This window comes from Homo sapiens, chromosome 5, assembly GCF_000001405.40.
Source record: "Homo sapiens chromosome 5, GRCh38.p14 Primary Assembly".
NCBI lineage: Eukaryota > Metazoa > Chordata > Mammalia > Primates > Hominidae > Homo > Homo sapiens.
In genome coordinates this window covers 129,505,860-129,527,472 of record NC_000005.10, presented here as the reverse complement: position 1 = coordinate 129,527,472, position 21,613 = coordinate 129,505,860, and the positions used below count along the sequence as shown (strand labels likewise).

Below are 21,613 nucleotides of genomic sequence, written 5' to 3'. Positions count from 1 at the left end.
TAGGCAGTGTTAATCTACCACATATCGCATTTTAGAGGAGTGCTCAGGAGGTAATGGAATATGGACAGAAATATCTAAAGTGTAAAAAAAAAAAAAACTCTGTTCCCCAGGAAAACAGCCAAATGATAGCAAAGATAGTAAAAAATGGGACTATATTTATCCTTACATCAGCCATTCTTAAATGGTAATTGACTTATAAATGGACATTTGCCTTGAACATTTATTTCTGTTTATTCTCATTGAAGAATCACTCTTCACTACAACCTTCTGATTCTTCCTTGAATGAGGTTTGCCCAACAGAGTACACAATTAAGTCAAAGGATTAATCTGGTAATAAGCATCCCTAACATGATAGATACTAGGATTTCTACAATCAGAAATCATCAACTCCAGTAGGCCACCTGTGATTTAGTTGGTTAAAATTTTAGCTCATCAACTAGAATCATATCTGACATCAAATTTTACATACGTATATAATAGGTCAGTGGATTACCAACATTCATTTTTATATCGCATCATAATTAACCTATGGTCCTTTTGTGGGGCCACATATATAAACATATATTAAAATATTTATGATAATTTCACCAAAAGTATACCTCTATCAAAATATCTTATGTACCCCATAAATATATACATCTACTATGTACCAAAAAAATAAATAAATAAATAAATACATGCATACATACAGACAGACATAAATACATACATAAAATGGGGCTAGAAACATTTTTTTAAAAAAGGAAAAGAACAGTACCAAAAAAAGAGAGAAAAGAGTAACATAGAAAGAGCTTTGCCACATCAAAATTAACAAGGGTTTACAAGATGTGAATTTTTATTTTGATATTGCTTTTGAGATGGATCAATTTTATATACCTAAGTATTTTTTTACTGATGACAATAAGAGAAAGGAATAGTAATGAGTTAATTTTAAAGAATTTCATTATAAATACTCACACATGTCTTCCTTAGAGTTTTCTTGAAAAAATTCCAAGCGCACTTTAAAGTTTGCCTACCATATTTAAGATGGTTAGAATGAATCTCCTGGCTGCATCTGCTCCATGATAGGAAACCATTGCTGGGTCTGCAACCACTACAGTCTCTATGTTGTATTCTTGAGGTAATTTGTATGAATATCGTTTCCCTCTTCCACTTTCTGCTATTTTTCTAGACCTAGGTCTTCCTTTATCTGCAACAGAGAATTGAATTTTTCAATGCACCTTCATATTGGCAAAGTGAATAATATTAAACATATTTAATAATGAGCAAACCCAAATAAGTTCCCGACACACATAAAATCTTAAAGGGCATTTGGCTTTGAAATATGACTTTAGAATGAGACAGACTGAACTTCTCCCACTTATTAGTTCTGCCATTTTAGCAAACTAACATCACTCAGTCAGCCTGAGTTTCCTTATCTGCAAAGTGGATAATGATAACACCTATCTTTCAGAGTTGTTGATGGCTTATAATAAGATCACATTAATTAGATTTCTAGCAAACAGCTCCAATATAAACAAAATAACTCAATAAATAAAAGATACTGCAATTTTCTTTTTGACATCAATGGCAAAATAAAGGTCTTGTTAGTTGAAAGAAGTGCCTGAAGTGACTGCCACCACACATCCTAATTTCAGGCAGGTGCTCCTGATTACTAAATTACTATGCATGAATTACAAAGGATTCAGCTCCACTTTCCATCAGGATCTTACAGAAGCTATAACTGCTTGGGAATATAGATTCCTCAAATGAAGCCAAATCAGAGCAGAAACAAAAATCATGTATAGGTTTGCCTACATAAAAAGTAAGAACTTCCGTTTATTAAAACATGTCCAAATGTTTTATTGTTCTATTAAATGTTTAATGTTCTATTAAAACATTTCCACTATCATAGTGGAAATCATGCCACCAAGTGACAGAAGATAGTTGCAATACTTTTCCAGAATAAAGAAATAAAGAGCTATTCTAAATCAATGACAGTCTAATTGAAAAATGGGCAGAACTTGAACAACCATTTCTCACAATAGGATATCTAAATGCCTAATAGCATGGGAAAATGTTTAACCTCACTGGTCTTCAGGCAAATACAAATTAAAACCAAAATACATTAAATAAATTAAAATCCCTGGAATAAGTTAAAATTAAAGACACTTACTATATCAAGTGCTGACAAGACTGTGGGGACAAATAGAAGCATCATATGCATACACGCTGAGAGATTAAACTGGGATAAACACTTTGTAAACCTAGTTTGCAGGGTCTACTAAAGTTGAATATTTGCATACCTATTAATCAATGATCTAAAACATACAGCCATCAGAAATGCATACAAATCGCATGTACAAACTACTCAGAGTGGCACTATTTTTAAAATTCAAATAATCATCAATAGTATATGGATAAAGAAATGTTAGAATAGTCATATAATGGAATACTATATAGCAATGAAAAGGAGCCAGCTGCTGTAACATGTGAAACTATGGAAGAATCTCACAAATAATGAGGTTCATCCACATAATACTGACGAAAAGAGGCCAAGTACAAAAGATTAGGTAGTATGATTCCATTTAAAGACACATCAAAGCCTGGGAAGAAATGCTCTTAAAAACCAACTCAGTGAATATCTTAGGGTAGGAGAAATTAGAGCCTGGGCATGGGCACAAGGGAGATATCTGTGGTGTTGATATTTTCTTTTCCTTCGTTTTTTTTTTTTCCCTTCAAGTTCTGGGATACATGTGCAGAACGTGCAGGTTTGTTACATAGGTGTACATGTGCTGTGCCACTTCACTGGCTGCATAAATGTCTTCTTTTGAGAAGTGTCTGTTCATATCTTTTGGCCACTTTTTGATGTTTTTTTTTTTTCTTGTAAATTTGTTTAAGTTCCTTATAGATTCTGGATATTAGCCCTTTGTCAGATGGATAGATTGCAAAACTTTTCTCCCATTCCATAGGCTGCCTGTTCACTTTGATGATAGTTTCTTTTGCTATGCAGAAGCTCTTCAGTTTAATTAGATCCCATTTGTCAATTTTGGCTTTTGTTGCAATTGCTTTTGGCGTTTTAGTCATGAAGTCTTTGCCCATGCCTATGTCCTGAATGGTGCTGCCTAAGTTTTCTTCTAGGGTTTTTATGGTTTGGGGCTTTACATTTAAGTCTTTAATCTATCTTGAGTGAATTTTTGTATAGTGTGTAAGGAAGGGGTCCAGTTTCTGTTTTCTGCGTATGGCTAGTTTTCCCAGCACCATTTATTAAATAGGGAATACTTTCACCACTGCTTGTTTTTGTCAGGTTTGTCGAAGATCAGATGGTTGTAGGTGTGTGGTGTTATTTTTGAGGTCTCTGTTCTGTTCCATTGGTCTATATACCTGTTTTGGTACCAGTACCATGCTATTTTGGTTACTATAGCCTTGTGGTAGTTTGAAGTCAGGTAGCATGATGCCCCCAGCTTTTTTCTTTTTGCTTAGGATTGTCTTGGCTATACGAGCTATTTTTGGTTCCATATGAAATTTACAGTAGTTTTTCTAATTCTGTGAAGAAAGTCAATGGAAGCTTGATAGGAATAGCACTGAATCTATAAATTACTTTGGGCAGTATGGCCATTTTCACAATATCGATTCTTCCTATCCATGAGCATGATTTTTTTTTCTCATTTGTTTGTGTCCTCTCTTATTTCCTTGAGCAGTAGTTTTCAATTCTCCTTGAAGAGGTCCTTCATGTCCCTTGCAAGTTGAATTCCTAGGTATTCTCTATAGTCTGATCCCAGTGGTAGTTATTGGTTATGTTCACACTGGGAAATTTCAGCAGTTGAACATACTGTTTCTGCAATTTCCTGTATGCACATGGTGCTTCAATAATAAATTTGCGATTATAACAGCTTTATTGAGGTGTAACTTACATGTCACATTATGCAGCCATTCATGTGTACAATCAAGTTTAAGAATTTTCTACAGTTGAAGAATAATCTCCATGGTATATTGTTAAATCAGCTACCACTTGCCCCTCTCCTTGTCATTTATCATATTCTGTTGATGTCTCTAAGCTGCTATCATCTTTCCACAACTTGCACTGTTGACTGGCACCTTTTATATTTCTTTACTATTTAATACAAATTCAGTGAAGTCTCTTCAAGAGTGGAGTGAAACATGTATATTCAATTAGTCATGATTCCCTGTATGTCTCTAACTGTGTTTTGAATTCAGGATATGTGTTCTCACAGTTCTAATCTATCTTTATGGTTTCTGATAAATTCCTTGAGTCTTATACCAGGTACCTGGGTTTTAGCTTGCCTATTCTATTCTATTATTCTCTTCTATTCTATCCTATTCTACTAACCACATATCCTACCTTGCTTTGACCTCTAACATATTTTCATTTTTACAGAATTAATTTATCTTCTCTTGGATTCTTTTTTTTTTTTTTTGAGATGGAGTCTCACTCTGCCGCCCAGGCTGGAGCGCAGTGTCGCGATCTCCGCTCACTTCAACCTCTGCCTCTGGGTTCTCGTGATTCTCCTGCCTCTGCCTCTCAAGTGGCTGGGATTACAGGCATGCACCACAATGCCCAGCTAATTTTTGTAGTTTTTGTAGAGACAGGGTTTCGCCATGTTGGTCAGTCTGGTCTCAAACTCCTGACCTCAGATGATCTGCCTGCCTTGGCCTCCCAAAGTGCTAGGATAACAGGTGTGAGCCACTGTTCCCAGCCTTATCTCTTGGATTCTTGAGTTACTGTTTCCTTTGTATTATGACTTCTATGCCCACCTGTCAGCTCTGTGATCTAATAAGAACCGGATCCCACCACTGTTGCTGGAAACTAATCTTATGTAGACTATCCCCATAAGTTACTGTTTCTCATTTTTTCTAGCAATGATGGAGATTTTAAAAATATGTAATAAATCCAGTTTTACTCAAATATCATGTATAATCAGTTAACAAAGTTAACTGAAGTGTTGTAACAATTAATGCAAATATTCCTTATTTATATCATATAACAAGTCAATGCAAGATGACAAAAACAATACTAGCCATCTGAATCAGAATCACTATAGTTAAAAGTAAACTTTATGGATCCAGATTCAGTACCAGCAGTTAATACCAAAGACCAAACTGATCATATATATATATATATATATATATATATATATATGTGTGTGTGTGTGTGTATATATATATATATATACACACACACACATACAACTACGCATACATATGTTGTTTATATATTATGTGTGTGTATATACTTACATTCTAACATATATACATATGTGTGTGTATATATATATATATTTTTTTTCAACATCACCTTTCTAGATGGATATATAATTGGCCTTCAAGGGAAATGAGAATCTGAGTATTATCCAGCACATATTCACCAACTGTGACAAGTGATAGCTTCTCACCAGTGTCAACTTCTGCCAAGTGAATGAGATTAATATGGATACATCCAATAACTAAAAAGAGACACCTCCTTCTACTTAGATACTTTTCCACATTTTCCTTACTTTCTTCCAGTTATCACCTTCCTGTCTTCATTGCTGGATGAGATGCTGTAGTAGAGACTATTAATTGTCTATCAGTATTCATTCTCCCTTTCTTACTTTTAGTAATAAAAAACTCCTTAACCACATCCCCACTCAACCACTGCTTTTTGGTTAGATGTGTGGCTATGCACCCAGAAACATTTCTCAGTCTACTGTTCAACTGAGTGTAATTATGTGACTGAGTAGTAAAACATGGAATTTGAACAGAACTAGTATGTAAAACTTTTGGGTCACCCTTTAAAGAAAATTGCTTGCTCCTACTTTCCTTCCTTCATCCTATAGGCTAGAAGCTAGACGAAGTATAGAGAGCTTAGGTGGACATTGGAAGATAACATTTCTGGGGGATGTTAAACCAATTCTTTGGGGTCAAAATGCATAGATAAAAATCTTGGATTTGCTACTTACTAGCTTTGGGACTGTGGGACAAAAACTTACTTTTCTACTTATTTGTTGTATAGATAAAAATTGTATATGAATAGGAATATGTGAGCATGTATATGTAACTTGCTTATTGCAATATCTAATTCATATATTAAATGTGAAATATGTTAGCTACTAGGATGACATTTTTAATATGGAAATGAATCTTCATATTTATTTGATCTCTAAATGGGAACATGCACACTTACATGGGTTTAAAGGTACACCTAGATGTATACTCTGTGCTCTCGGTAAAAATTTTGCTTTTAACAAACTATTACATTTTGATTATCAAATAAAATTTACTAAAACCTAGAGTAAATAATCACTGGTCATATTAAAACTATTTTTTGATAGTCAGAACTCAAGAAAATTCCTACAGCAACTATTTTGTTACTGCAATATTTAAGCAATCTAATAATGCCACAGCCCGCATGAAAATCTCTTCCTTCAAAGATGTTTTCCTTTGTAAAAGAGAAAACTGGATTCCATTCTAGAAGGCTATAAAATAGAAAGCTATAAGCATATAAAATATATCACTACAGTGACCATCTCATTCACAGTATCACTGGGAAAACCTCATGGAGTTCAGAGAAGAGACAAATTAGGGCATGGAGCTGGCATCACAGGAGATAGAAAAAAGGTGAGCTCTCATTCAGAGCTGAGACTTAGGGTCCTGAGCGATGAGCTTCAGCAGATAAGAGAAAACCATGCAGATTTAGAAAATGAGATAATAAAATACAACAATTTTACAACTTCAGACTCATTAGAAATCATGTAAATGAATCTCAGAATCATGGGTATCTACTCCAATTGGCAGAGAAATGACTCGTCCAAATACATACAACTGGATAGCAAAATATCTGGTGGAAAAAATGTATTTATCTCAACTCTTAACAGAGTAAGACTCTGAATAATTATTGTCCAAATAATAATAATTAGTGGAAACAAATTCTTCCTCAAGGTGTTTACAAACATTGTTTATCTTTCCTATCATTGAAATGTCATCTTACTCTCTTAGGTTTCACAAAGAAGATTGTGTCTTCCCATATTTTTGTCTTTAGAGGCTGACGTTACTCATATTTATGTGTCCAGGGTATGGCATGCAGTAAATAATATTTATGGAATTAACGTGAAGAAACTTTATATCCAGCATTTTACTAGGCTCCCTAGTGTGTAACACCACATGCACAAAATGCAATGGTAGCACTACAAAGCAATAGCTTGGAAAGGCTTAGGGAAAGTAGCATCCAGGGGGTTCAGAAGGACTTCCCTAAGGCACTAAGTCTTGGAGGATGAGAAGGTTAAAGGAAAAGAAGAGAAAGTTTTGAAGAAAACCAGGAGACTTAGAGGCAGGAAGGAGTATGGTACATAGGGATAGAAATGAAAGATCTCTATAAACTCAGATGTTTCTCTAAATATGCACAAAAATCACATTTCGGGGTCCATGTTTAAAATGCTGATTCTCTTGGGTCCCGGCCTCAGTAACTCTGACTTAGTGCATCTGGATGGGATCCAGAAATCTTCATTTTAACTTTGATCTCCAGGTGATTTTGGTGCACTTAATCTACTTACCATATTCAGGTTGTTGTGCGCCTAGCTGAAGAGTATGAATTTTACTCTGAAGTTGTGAAGAATCCCAGAAAATGCACCTTTTAGAAAAATTGGAAACTAGATTATGAGAGGGTTAGACGGAAATCAAGAAGACACAGAGAAGGCAATAAACTGCAGTAATCCAAGCAATATATAAATTGGCTGTAGAGTCAAGGGTCCAGGGTCTCCTGGTATGCAAAATGGCATAGTGGGAATCACATCATCCCTTGTGTATTTCTTAAAAATCTTTCCGCTTCCTGTCTCTTTTTTTTTTTTTCCTATAAAATGAGAATAGGGAGGGCAGCCTATAAACCTTGATACTGAGGCTACAGCACTCTGAGCCTCCAAGAAAACTTGAAAGGCAGGCTAGGCCATAAGGACTGCAACTCTTAGGCAAGTGCTAGAGACAGTGGACTAGGAGGTACACACAATATACTGAGACACCAGCTAGGATGGCCAAGGGAGTTCTGGCATCACCCCTCCCCTAACCTCAGGCTGCATAGCTGGTGGCTCCAAAGAGACTCCTTCCTTGTGCTTGAGGAGGGGAGAGGGAAACGTGTGGAAGACTTTGTCTTACATCTAGGATATGAGCACAACCACACAGGATAGGGTGCCAGTTAGAGTTGTGAGGCCTCCATTCCAGGTCCTAGCTCCCAAAAGACATTTCCAGACATCCCCTGGGCCAGAAGGGAACCCACTGCCTTGAAGAAAGGAACCCAGTCCTGGCAGTATTTGCCACCTACTAACTGAAAAGCGCTGAATAACCAGCAGTGACACCCAGGTACTACATCGAGGACTTTGGGTGAACCTTTGAGACTTACTGGCTTCAGGTACCAGCAGAGCCACAGAGTGATAGAACACCAAGTGAACTTGAAATAATTAAGAAGACTCAAGCAGGAATTCTGGAGTTGAAAAATGCAATTAGCATATTGAAGAGTGAATCACAGTCTTTTAATAGCAGAATTGAACAAACAAAAGAAAGAATTAGTGATCTTGAAGACAGGCTATTTGAAAACACACAGTCAGAAGAGACAAAACAAAAAAGAATAAAAAACAATGAAGCAAACCTACAGGATCTAGAAAATTGCCTCAAAAGGGCAAATATAAGAGTTATTGGCCTTAAAGAAGAGGTAGAAAAAGAGATAAAGGTAGAAAGTTTTTACAAAGAAATAACAGAGAACTTCCCAAACCTAGAAAAAGATACCGATATCCAAATACAAAAAGGTTATAGAACACCAAGCAGATTTAATTCAAAGAAGACTACCTCAAGGCATTTAATAATCAAAATCTCAAATGTTAAGGATAAGGAAAGAATCCTAAAACCAGCAAGAGAAAAGAAACAAAAAACATACAATTGAGCTCCAATACACTGGCAGCAGTGGAAAACTTACAAGCCAGGAGAGAGTAGCGTGTCATGTACTGTGCTGAAGTAAAAAAAAATTTCCCCTTGAATAGTATATCTGGCAAAAATACCCTTCTAACATGAAGGAAAAATAAACACTTTCCCAGACAAACAAAAACTGAGGGATTTCAGCAATACCAGACCTGTCCTACAAAAAATGCTTAAGGAGGTACTTCATTCAGAAAGAAAAGGACATTAATGAGTAATACATAATCATCTGAAGGTACAAAACTCACTGGTAATAGTAAGTACACAGAAAAACACAGAATATTATAACACTGTTACTGTGGTGTGCAAACTACTTTTGTCCTAAGTAAAAAGACTAAACAATGACACAATCAAAACTAATAACTATAAAAACTTTTCAAGACATAGTCAGTACAAAGATATAAATAGAAACAAAAAAAGTTTAAAAAGTTGGGGTACAAAGTTAAGGCAGAGAGTTTTTGTTGGATTTCTTTTTGCTTATTTGTTCGTGGAAATACTGTTAAGATGTTATCAGGTTAAAATAATGGTTTATAAGATAGTATTTGCAACCTCATGGTAACCTCAAACCCAAAAACATATGGTGAATACATAGAGAATAAAAAGCAAGAAACTAAATCATATAATCAGAGAAAATCACCTTTGCTAGAGGAATACAGGAAGAAAAGAAACAAGGAAGATACGACAACAAAACAACCAGAAAACAAATAACAAAATGGCAGGAGTATAAGTCCTTACTTATCAATAATAACATTAAATGTAAATGAACTAAACTATCTAATCAAAAGACATAAAATGGCTAAATAGATGAAAAAATAAGACCCATTGATCTGTTGCCTACAAGAAACACACTTCACCTATAAAGAGACATATAGACTGAAAATAAAATAATGGAAAGAGATATGCCAGGCCAATAAAAACCAAAAAAGAGCAGGAGTTGCTATATTTATATCAGACAAAATAGATTTCAAGACAAAAACTGTAAGGGACAAAGAAGGTCACTATATAATGATAAAGGAGTCCATTCAACAAGAGGATATAACAATTTTAAATATATATATGCAACCAACACTGGAGCACCCATATAAAGAAAGAAAACATTATTAGAGCTATTGAGAGAGAATAGGCCACAATACAATAATAGCTGAAGACTTCAACACCCCACTTTAAGCACTGGGCACATCTTCCAGACAGAAAATCAACCAAGAAATATCAGATTTAATCTGCACTATAGGCCAAATGACTCTAATAAAGATTTACAGAACATTATAACCAAGAGCTGCAGAATACCATTCTTTTCCTCAGCATGTGGATCATTCTCAAGGAAAGACCATATGCTACATCATAAAACAAGCATTAAACCATTCCAAAAATTGAAGTAATATAATATCAGGCATCTTCTCTAACCAAAATGGAATAAAACTAGAAATTGATAACAAGAGGGAATTTTGGAAATTATGCAAATACATGGAAATTAAACAATATGCTCCTGAAAGACCAGTGGGTCAATGAAGAAAGTGAGAAGGAAATTGGAAAATTTCTTGAAACAAAGATAATGGAAACAAAGCATACCAAAACCTTTGGGATTCAGCCAAAGCAGTACTCAGGGGGAAGTTTATAAGTGCCTACATCGAAAAAAAAAAAAAAAAAGGAAAAATCTCAAAAAACCTAACAAGAACTAGAATAGTAAGAACAAACCAAACTTAAACCTAGAATAAAAGAAATAATAAAGATCAGAGCAGAAATAAATGAAATTGAAATAAAAAATACAAAAAAAATCAATAAAACAGAAGGTTGCTTTATTTGAAAAGTTAAACAAAATTGATAAACCCTTAGCCAGACTAAGAGTAAAAGAGAGAAGGTCCAAACAAATAAAATCAGAAATGAAAAAGAAGACATTACAACCAATACTGCAGAAATTCAAAGGATCATTAGTAGCCACGATAAGCAACTATATGCCAATAAGTTGGAAAATGTAGAAGAAATGGACAAATTCCTAGATATATACAACCTACCAAGATTGAAACAGGAAGAAATCAAAAATCTGAACAGATAGCAAGTAACAAGATTGAAGCCATAATAAAATGTCTTCCCGTAAAGTCAAGTCCAGGACCCTATGGCTTCACTGCTGAATTCTGTCAAACATTTAAGGAAGAACTAATACCCATCCTAGTCAAACTATTCCAAAAAATATATAAGAGGAGGGAATACTTCCAAAGTCATTCTAGGAAGCCAGTATTACCCTGATACAAAAAAAAAAAAGAAAAGAAAAAAAGACACATAAATTAAAAAAAAAACTACAGGCTAATATTTCTGATGAATACTGATGCAAAAATCCTCAACAAAATACTAGCAAACTGAATGCAACAATACATTAGAAAGTTCATTCATCATGACAAGTTGGAAAATATCCCTGGGAGGCAAGGATGGTTCAACATTTGCAAATCAGTTGACATGATACATCTTATAAATAGAATGAAGGAGAAAACCATATGATCATGTCAATTGATGCTGAAAAAGCATTTCATAAAATTCAACATCTCTTCAGTATAAAAACTGTCAAAAAACTGGGGATAGAAGGAACATACATCAACATAATAAAAATCATACGCCACAGGCCTACAGCTAGTATCATACTAAAGGGGAAAAACAGAAAGACTTTTCTCTAAAATCGGTAACACTACAAGGATGCCCACTCTCTCCACTGTTATTCAATATATTACTGTAAGTCCTAGCTAGAACAATCAGTCAAGAGAAAAATATAAAGGGCATCTAAATTGGAAAGGAAGAAGTCAAATTATCCTTGTTTGCTGATAATGTAATCCTATATTTGGAAAAACCTAATGACTCCACAAGAAAACTATTAAAACAGATAAATTCAGTAAAGTTGCAGAATACAAAATCAACATGCAAAAATCATTAGCATTTCTATATGCCAACAGTGAACAATGTGAAAAAGAAATTTAAAAATATAACCCCATTTACAATAGCCACACATAAAATTAAATATCTAAGAATTAACCAAAGAAGTGAAAGACCTCTATAATGAAAACTATAAAACACTGATGAGGGAAATTGAAGAAGATACCAAAAAGTAGAAAGATATTCCATGTTCATGGGTTGGAAGAATCAATATTGCTAAAATGTCCATACTACTCAAAGCAATCTACAGATTCAATACAATCCCTATCAAAACACCAATGACATTCTTCACAGAATTAGAAAAAAAAAACAGTCCTAAAACTTATATGGAATCACTAAAAGACCCCAAACAGACAAAGCTATCCTCGGCAAAAAGAACAAAACTGGGGGAATCAAATTACCTGACTTCAAATTGTACTACAGAGCTACAGTAACCAAAACAGCATGGTAGTGGCATAAAAACAGGCACATAGACCAATGGAATATAACAGAAAGCAAAGAAACAAATCCACATACCTACAGTGAACTCATTTTTGAAAAAGGTGCCAAGAACATACACCGGGGAAAAGATAGTCTTGTTGATAAATGGTACTGGGAAAACTGAATATCCATTTGCAAAAGAATGAAACTTTATCCCTATCTCTCACCATATACAAAAATCAAATCAAAATGGATTAAAGATTTAAATCTAACACCTCAAACTATGAAACTATTACAAGAAAACTTTGGGGAAAATCTCCAGGACATTGGTCTCAGCAAAGATTTCTTGAGTAATACACTACAAGCACAGGCATCTAAAGCAAAAAATGAACAAATGGGATCACATCAAGTTAAAAAGCTTCTGCACGGCAAAGGATACAATTAACAAAGTGGAGACAACCCACAGAATGGGAGAAAATATTTGGAAACTATCCATCTGACAAAGATTTAATAACTAGAATATGTAAATAGCTCAAACAACTCTGTAGGAAAAAATCTCATAATCCAATCAAAAAATAGGCAAAATATTTGAATAGACATTTCTCAAAAGAAGACATACAAATGGCAAATAGGCACATGAAAAGGTGCTCAACATCATTGGTCACCAGAGAAATGCACATCAAAACTACAATGAGATATCATCTCACCCCAGTTAAAATGGCTTTTATTCAAAAGACAGGCAACAACAAATACTGGCAAGGATGTGAAGAAAAGGGAACCCTTGTACACTGTTAGTGGGAATGTAAATTAGTAAAACCACTATGGAGAACAGTTTGAAGGTTCCTCAAACATTAAAAAGAGAGCTACCATATGATCCAGCAATCCCACTGCTGGGTTTATACCCAAAAGAAAGGAAATCAGTGTATCTAAGAGATATCTGCACTTCTATGTTTGTTGCAGCACCGTTTACAATAGCTAAGATTTGGGAGCAATCCAAGTGTCCATCAGCAGATGAACTGATAAAGAAAATGTGGTACTTATACAAATGAAATATTATTCAGCCACAAAAAGAATGAGATACAGTCATTTGCAGCAACATGGATGGAACTGGAGATCATTATGTTAAGTGAAAGACGCCAGGCACAAAAAGACAAACATGGGATGGTCTCACTTATTTGTCGGATCTAAAAATCAAAACTATTGAACTCATGGATATAAACAGTAGAAGGATGGTTAGCAGAGGCTAGGAAAGGTAGTGAGGAGTTTGAGGGGAGGTGGGGATGGTTAATGGGTACAAAAAAGTTAGAAAAAATGAATAAGACCTACTATTTGATAGCACAATAGGTTAACTATAGTCAATAATAACTTAATTGTATATTTTTAAATAACTTAAATAATTTAATTAGATTATTTGTATCTCAACGCATAAGTGGTTGAGGGGATGGATACCCCATTTGCCATCATGTGCTTGTTTCACAATGCATGCCTATATGAAGACATTTCATGTGCCTGACAAATATATACACCTACTATGTACCCACAAAAAAATTTAAAAAAAATAAGAAATGAGGATACAAATACTATCTACCTCAAAGGATTATAGAAAACATAAAAATAAAATAACACATGTAACATAACTACATGAACTGGCACATGGTACATTTTATAGAAATGTGTTTTCTTTTTTTTTCTTTTAGAGATGAGATCGGGTCTCACTCTGTCACCCAAGCTGGAGTACAGTGGTGTGATCATGGCTCACTGCAGCCTCAAACTCCTGGGCACAGATGATCCTCCCACCTCAGGCTCCCAAGTAGCTAGGACTATAGGTACACCACTGTGACTGGCTAAATAAATGTTCTTATTATAATAATAACACAGAAGTGGTAGAAAGAGATGACAGGCAAAATATTAGGAGGTAGACAGCATCATGAGTAAACTCAATCAGACTTAGAGGAACAAAGACAGAAGGTTAGATTAATACTTTTTTTTTTTTTAGTTGTTACTTGTGTTTTGGTTGGGGGGTTTATTTTTAATTTTCAAGTGACTAGATAAATAGTCGAGGATATTGGAAGAGGCCTTTGGGAGGAGAGATGATGGGTTCAGTTTCAGAGTTATTAAATCTGAGATGCTTGATGACATCTGAATAGAAGTTACTATTACATATATATGGAAGTCAGGAGAAAAATTGAAATGGAGACACTTTGGAATTAATCAATGTAAAGCTGAACCCACATTGGCTTCGGATTATATCAACCTGGGAAAGTAGGTGGAACAGGAAGTAGAAAAAAAAGGGAAGTCCTGAGAAATGCCTGTATTCAGGGGTAAACAGATGGAAGAAGACATTCCCATAGAAGAGACAGAGATGGAGATGTAAGAAATGTAAAAGGAGGATAGTTTATAAAATGAGGGGGATAGTTTATAAAATGAGAGGCTTTTTATCTGTACCAAGAGTGGTAGATAGATCAGGTAAGAGAGAGTTAGAAAAGTATATTTCCCTCAGTGTCCCAGCTGGTGACAGCTGTGTTGGCCCCAATCTGTCAGTTTCCTGTGTCCTTATTTTCACTTAAATAGGCTACCTGGAAGATTCTAGGTTTCTAAAGAATCTCAACTTCACAGCTGACTCTGCCATATAAGTTATCCATTGTCTGTGAAAATCATGCATATTGAAGTAATCTTTTTATTAAGTTGCTCTCTTTGATGTTTTTATTATGTACAATTATGCAGAGCTCATTCTTCATCTCCTAAATCTTTAGACCATGTTGTATCCAAATGCATGTATAAAAACAACACAGTTGATACCGTACACTTCCAGTCAGAGAAGAAATGTAGAATTATTCACCAGTACTCAGTGTGTGTTCTCTCTAATGCCCTCCACAGATTGACAATAATCTCCACAATACTTATGGTTGGAGTATGGGAACTAGTTCAGTAGTGGCCTGGTTAAGTCAGCTCGAAGAATGGAGATAGATGATCTCTACATCCTGCCTAAACCTTTGTCTTCAGCTCTGTAAATCTCTTCTCTTTTCCTACTGAGTCTTAGACATACTCATGCGTTTATACTAAAATGTTAATACAAACTGATAATGTCACTTGAAGATAAAGTCCTTACCAGGGCACTCAAGTCCCTTCAGTTTCTGGTCCATGACCACTTTTCCAGGGCTGTGTCTTATCAAGTACAGAAACTTGGTTTCTGTTCCCTTGATGCCTTCTCATGCCTTTATACTTTTTCATGTGTTATTCCTTCTGCCTGAAATGTTCTTGACCCATTAACATGTAACAGCATGCACTAAAAACTTCATGTTTCTCACTTTTAATACATAATGTCACTTAATTCTGAGGACAGTCTTGAGGTTGAAGTATCACTATTCCCATTTTGTATATGATAAGTGAATCTTTTGAGAGAGAAAGTAAACTTCCCAAGATCACAGACAGATAGGGATATGAACACAGGCAGTCTGATCCCGAAGTCCATTATCTCAACCTGGACTCTGTTCCCTTTTCTCCCTCTAGTCTTAATAAGTTTTACCTGATCTTTGAGACTCAATTGTCCATTTTCAGGAGCTTGGGATCTTGTATGCTAAGTCTATTGTAGTTCTTATCACACTATGGTGTAATTGCTGAGTTACCAGTTTGTTAAAATAATATATTCTTCACCTCTTGAGAATAGAAACTGTGTCATTTATCTCCACATTCCTGTAAGGTGACTGGTTGTGCTTATATTACAAACAAAAAAGCTAAGTTTCAAAAGTTACATGAATTGCTCAAGATTACCTAGGCTGGAGTGAGACTAAAGCTGGGCCTTGAACCTGAGGCCTCTGACTCTAAAACTCATGTGCTTTCCCCTCCTTTACATTATGTTCTAGTACAATAACACAACAAAGTCATTTTAAAACAGGAAAATCCCTGTTTGGAAAAAAATATTCATGTAAGCAATACATATAAACATAATCTACCTAAAACCTTGAAAACACTAAGAGAGTACAAAGACCAAGTTGAAGACAAGCAAACTTAATAATCTCATTTTCCAGAGTCAAATACTGCAACATTATCAAAATTTGGACCATGTTATTAATTTGTTACTGTAACAGCCTGAAGTAAGAAGAGAAAGGCTACAATTGGACATGTCAGTACCCGTAAATAAATATTTTATTTCACAGATTCCTAATTTTTAAATGATTTTTAAAATTCTGAGCCCTCAAAAAGCATCTGAAAATAGGTAAGCTCAGTAAATCATTTAGCTGATGATAGCTTAGCACTCCTTACATGCAAGTTCTTGGCCCAAGTAGGTCAACATTTACATGTAACAATCATGCCTACTATATATATATATATATATATATCTCAGAAACTTTATGCACAACATTTGCCAAACATGAACTCTGTATTTATCCTTTATTAACCTATATAATTCAGAATTTTCTAGAAACCTTTTCTCTATGCATAATGGCATACAGAGCCTGCTTTGTGTCATCAGAGTACATGAGTAATTAGAACAGCTGGAACTTAACAATTATTCAAAAGTTACACAGTGCAGATTTTCAGTATAACTCGTACAAAGCAATCTCCTTAAATGGACTAAATCCAAACTATAGCTGTCGTTTTTATCATTTCCCAATACAGAAGCTTTTCTTTTGCTTGTTCGTAATGCTACACTTTTTGTTCAGCTGACTTTTTCTCCTTTATATCTACAGTGTTTGTAATAGAGAAGAGGGATATGTCTTATTTAAACTGGCTTGATTTTGTGGACATGGAATACTGTGACGTGGAGAGAGACTCAACTGCTTTTGATGATGATTCTTGTACAGACTGACATCATGACTTTTTACAAAAGAAAACAGAAGTAACAGATTAATTTGAGATAAAAATATATTCTAAATAGAAATATATTATAATATTTTTCTGAATCCGAACATCCTAGGCAATCGATGATATAGACATCCTCTGGTCTCTACAAATGTGATTTATTGTCACCATGCACATATCTAATCTGGCCTCAAGTATCATAATCAATTTTAGAATTGATATCTTGATACAAGCTACATTGACAATTAAAATCTGCAAGTCAAATTTTAAAGTCCTTACACTGAAAATTTTTCAATAAATTTATATTTCCTCAGATTCTAACTGGAAATATTTCTTAGATCAGTAAATACCCTGAGATGTCTGGATTCCATGTCTAAAAATTTTTCCTAGGAAAACTTTTAATTTTTTTCTGAATATTAGCTATGACTTTCAGATCCTACTTATGTAACAGAATTCATTCATTTTCCTCACCATACTTGCAAACACCACAGATCTCTGCCTAAGGGAAGTAAGAAAGTACATGAAACAGTCACCCTCATTTTGTTCCTGTAAAGAACTGGCAGACAAAAAGAGCCAAGGATTTGATGGTTGGGAATGTTTATGAGCCTCTGAAAAGTTCCAGACTTAAGGGATTTGAATACTGAGAACAAAATTCGAACGTATAAATCTTTACTCTTCTTCCTATTCTGCAGCTAATTTTAACCTCCAAAATGATTTTAGATGGGAAAAAGAAAGAGAAGATGAGGATGCTTCTAGTCCAAGAGATATCTATGATGCTTTCACAGAGGTGGACTAAATTAAGGCTTTGAGCTCACAGTATTCAGTTTCAGGGTATCTGGAATTATCTGTGTCATTTCTATTCCAGTAAAGTGAACAGTATCCCATGAGGAACACTTTACAATTCAAGAAAAGTATAGGATATATTATATGTTCATCTCTAAAGTCCTTTTGAGTTCTACTTTTTGATATTAAAATGTAGTGCTTCATAAAAAACTAAAAGATAATCCTATAATTGATACATTTAATTGTTACTAATTAAAAGATTCTACATTAAAAATAAGTAAAGCTAGTAAATAGACGAGAGAGTTTTTTTAAAGTAGTCATCTCACATTGAATATTTACTTAAAACTCTTTCAGGAGAAGGCATTTACCTGAAATGATACCACAGTAATGACTGTGAAGAGCTGACTTCTCTGTGACCTTTTCCTCCATGGACCTTTTCTGCCTATATACACGGTGTGGGTGACCTGTTATGGCCATTGTATCATTGAGTGGCTCAATAAATATGAAGTCCTCATTGAGCTGTATAAATCCCATCTGGAATATATAACACAAAAAGATATGTAAGAAATATCATTTGAAAAAATACTTTTAGATTCTTCCATTCATACATTCTGTTTTTGTTAACAAACATGCATACAGTCTTCTAGTGAAACTAACTTAGCAACCCCACTAGCAAGGTAACTATCTTCCCATTTTATTACTTCATCTTTATGTACTTTATTGCACTAACATAAACTTCATTTAGTTAGTCTTAATCCGTGTGGGTGGGAGGCTAGACGCCAGCAACAGATGCACAGTAAAAATTTTGGAATGTTAAAGGCTCACTTTGGGAGACCCATGGGGTCACTTAAATGTACAGCATGTACAGAAAGAGCAATACAGTTTTTAATTGCATACATGGCACAGTCCAAATTTTTGACAGTCATTATTTAATAAAGTAATTCATATAACATATTAAGACAAATGCAAGAGACAAATGCAAGAAGCATCAAATTAATATATAAAATATCCTTAAAGTCTTCTACTACGTATTTTAAAAGCCCTTGAAGAATAAGTTAGAGAAAAATGAAGCATTACTTACATAAACAAGTTTCATTTCACATAGTGACATGTTTTAAAAGTCATCCAATTGTGAGACAGAGGGTTGAAACTGTATAATACAGTTATGATCAATAAAAAGTACTTATAACAAGTAGGTATACTTGTAATATTTTGAGGCTAAGCCTAGTCATTTCTTCCTTTCCTTTTCTAGAATATAAATTTACATTATAACTAGGAAAGTATTCCACATGAAAGAACATGCTATGACTTGATCTTTTCCATTTTTAGTATTTAACTCTGTATAATTAATACATATAGATAGCATACATTCAACTATATTATCTCTTTAGCAAATAGTTTTGAATAAATCATATACTAAAACCTGTATTACTAATACCCAATCTGCTAATATCAAAGTTCTTAATTCTGTTTTGAATTATCAATATGAATTTTATGTATATTTCATTTCAATTTGATCCACTTATAAGTGGCACAATAATAATATAATTATTTTCTAAAGTGAAAATTAAACAAATACATATATCCTGAAGGAAATGCATGTTTTCTTTGGAAGTATAGCAGAATTTTTTTTAATTTGTTTGAATTATTAGTATTGCATCTTCCACTGCCAATATTCTACCTCATTGCATTCTGTACCAAATAAAGTAAATCGAGGGTAAATCTTAAAATCCTAATCAATCTCATTTTATTGAATGAGTTTTATCACTAAAAAATTATCAAGAACGAGAATAAGCAATTTTATCACCTCGATCTGTCCCCCTCCTCTCTCTCCCTTTCTTTCTCTCTCTGCCTCTATTGCTTTCCCTATGTCTCAATCTCTCTCTCTCTCTCTCTCTCTCGCTCTAGATCTCACTCTGGCTCTCGCACACACACACACACACACACACGTACACAGGCACACAAATATATTCAGGGGTAGGGATAATTAAGAAAGATTTACTCTAATGAACCTTTAAAATACTAGACACATATGTGGGCCAAATATTTGTATAATTTTAATATGCCTTCAAATAACTTCAAGTAAGTTCTTTCATTTTCCATACATATTTTACTTCTCTCAGTCTGAAACTAGCTTGAATTTTAAGGTAATTACATCAAATCCAGCAGTTTTTCCCTTGAGCTTAATTTAATGAGAAACAAGAAAATATTAAAGATAAAATTATTAAATAATAGCCATTAAAGATGTAGTACATCTACACATAAATTGAGAATAGGTGGTGTTGTGTTACACATTATTGATCTAGGCTAAAAATAAAGAAATATGTTATTCTTGTCTTATGGATTAGTGTAATTCTGAGAGTCATTAAGTTTTCAAGGTTGCCAATAAAATTGACAGTGAGGCTGATGATTAAAATAAGAATTATGCTGCTCAGCACAGCTCAGGCAAACATGCTCAGTTTCTGAAAATCATAAATTTGTGATTCTATACATCCTTTCAACCAGGTTATAAACATGGTTAGGTTTATAACAATAAACCTTATAAAATTTAATTGCACACTATCACATAAAATTTAATGACTCCAAGAAAAGATTCTGAACTGGGTTCATAACTTACTGCTAGCTGTGTAACTATGGGAAAGTTACAGCACCTTTATCCAAACCCCAACTTCATAGGGTTATTTGGAGGATAACTTTTTAAAAAATATATATATATTTTAAAAATACACATATCCTTCTAACTAATAAGTTAGAAGGAACAGAAAGCAATGCTCTTATCATGGGTAATGCTCTGATAATGGGTAACTAGTCAATAAATGTTTGCTGTTACTTTAATTTTAATAATAAGGACAATCATAATAAATATAAGCATCCAAACATTTGAGTACAGGCTGAAAAACTCACAAAGTCCAAAGGATCTAACTTTATTAAATTTTGTATCCCTGTTAGCAGGTAAATTAGTCTGAAATAAATTATATTGTTGTTTTGTTAGGATTTGGAAGCTTCTTCATTACATAACATTTTCTGTTGTATTAGAATTTTATCTACAGACACTTTTTGTTAAATGACGAGTTACTGGGTGCAGGACACCAACATGGCACACGTATACATATGTAACTAACCTGCACATTGTGCATATGTACCCTAAAACTTAAACTATAATAAAAAAAAAACAAGAAAGCTACTTTTAAAAACAAGAAAGCTACTTTTAAAAAGGAAAAAACAAGTTGGAATAATTATAAGTGGTGACTCATTCATTCAATACATGTTTATAGTCTGACCACTGTGTTCCAACTCAGTTCACTCTGGCATATTTAGCACCAAGAGTCATACCATGAACTTTCTTTCTGGGCCTAGAATACTATCCTATGGCACACAAAGTGCCCTAGCATGAATATGTGTCATTCAAGATACTGGCTCATATTAAAGCAGAATTATAGGAAATCTTGAGGTTTTCTGTGTCCCCGCAAAGGGCTCACTTCTTCCATTAACAAAATAAATTGTTTTATCTGCAATGTGATTTTACAAGCTATGAAAGAACATGAACCCATATTAACCTTTCTGCACAAGTGCCCCTGTGCTGGGCAATCCACAATTAGGCAGCCTTTGCTTTACTGCGAATATCGTCCTCTGAATTTTAGCAAGAAATAAGATTATATGAATTAATATGACACAATGCACTATCTAAAATAAATGCAGAGTATATAAGTGTTTTTCATATTTTCCTTTTTAAATTTTTCAAAATAATTTT

The 21,613-nt window shown here is 34.1% G+C and overlaps 1 protein-coding gene across 11 annotated transcripts in view; it reads right to left on the bottom strand.

Annotated features, from left to right (window-relative positions):
• Window positions 1-21,613, bottom strand: part of ADAMTS19 (ADAM metallopeptidase with thrombospondin type 1 motif 19) — a 278,386-nt gene that overhangs the window by 211,211 nt on the left and 45,562 nt on the right. For 9 of the 11 annotated variants that reach the window (XR_007058587.1, XM_047416876.1, XM_047416878.1 and 6 more), the window contains 2 exons: window positions 18,231-18,396; window positions 1,017-1,189 (listed from right to left, as the gene is read on the bottom strand). Coding sequence is in view for 10 of the 11 variants with exons in the window: in XM_047416876.1 (XP_047272832.1) it covers window positions 1,017-1,189; window positions 18,231-18,396 (339 nt within the window). In the remaining variant the exon portion in view is untranslated. Of the gene's footprint in view, window positions 1-1,016; window positions 1,190-7,529; window positions 12,296-18,230; window positions 18,397-21,613 lie in introns of those variants that run through there. The other 2 variants (XM_017009174.2, XM_047416883.1) reach the window with 1 other exon arrangement.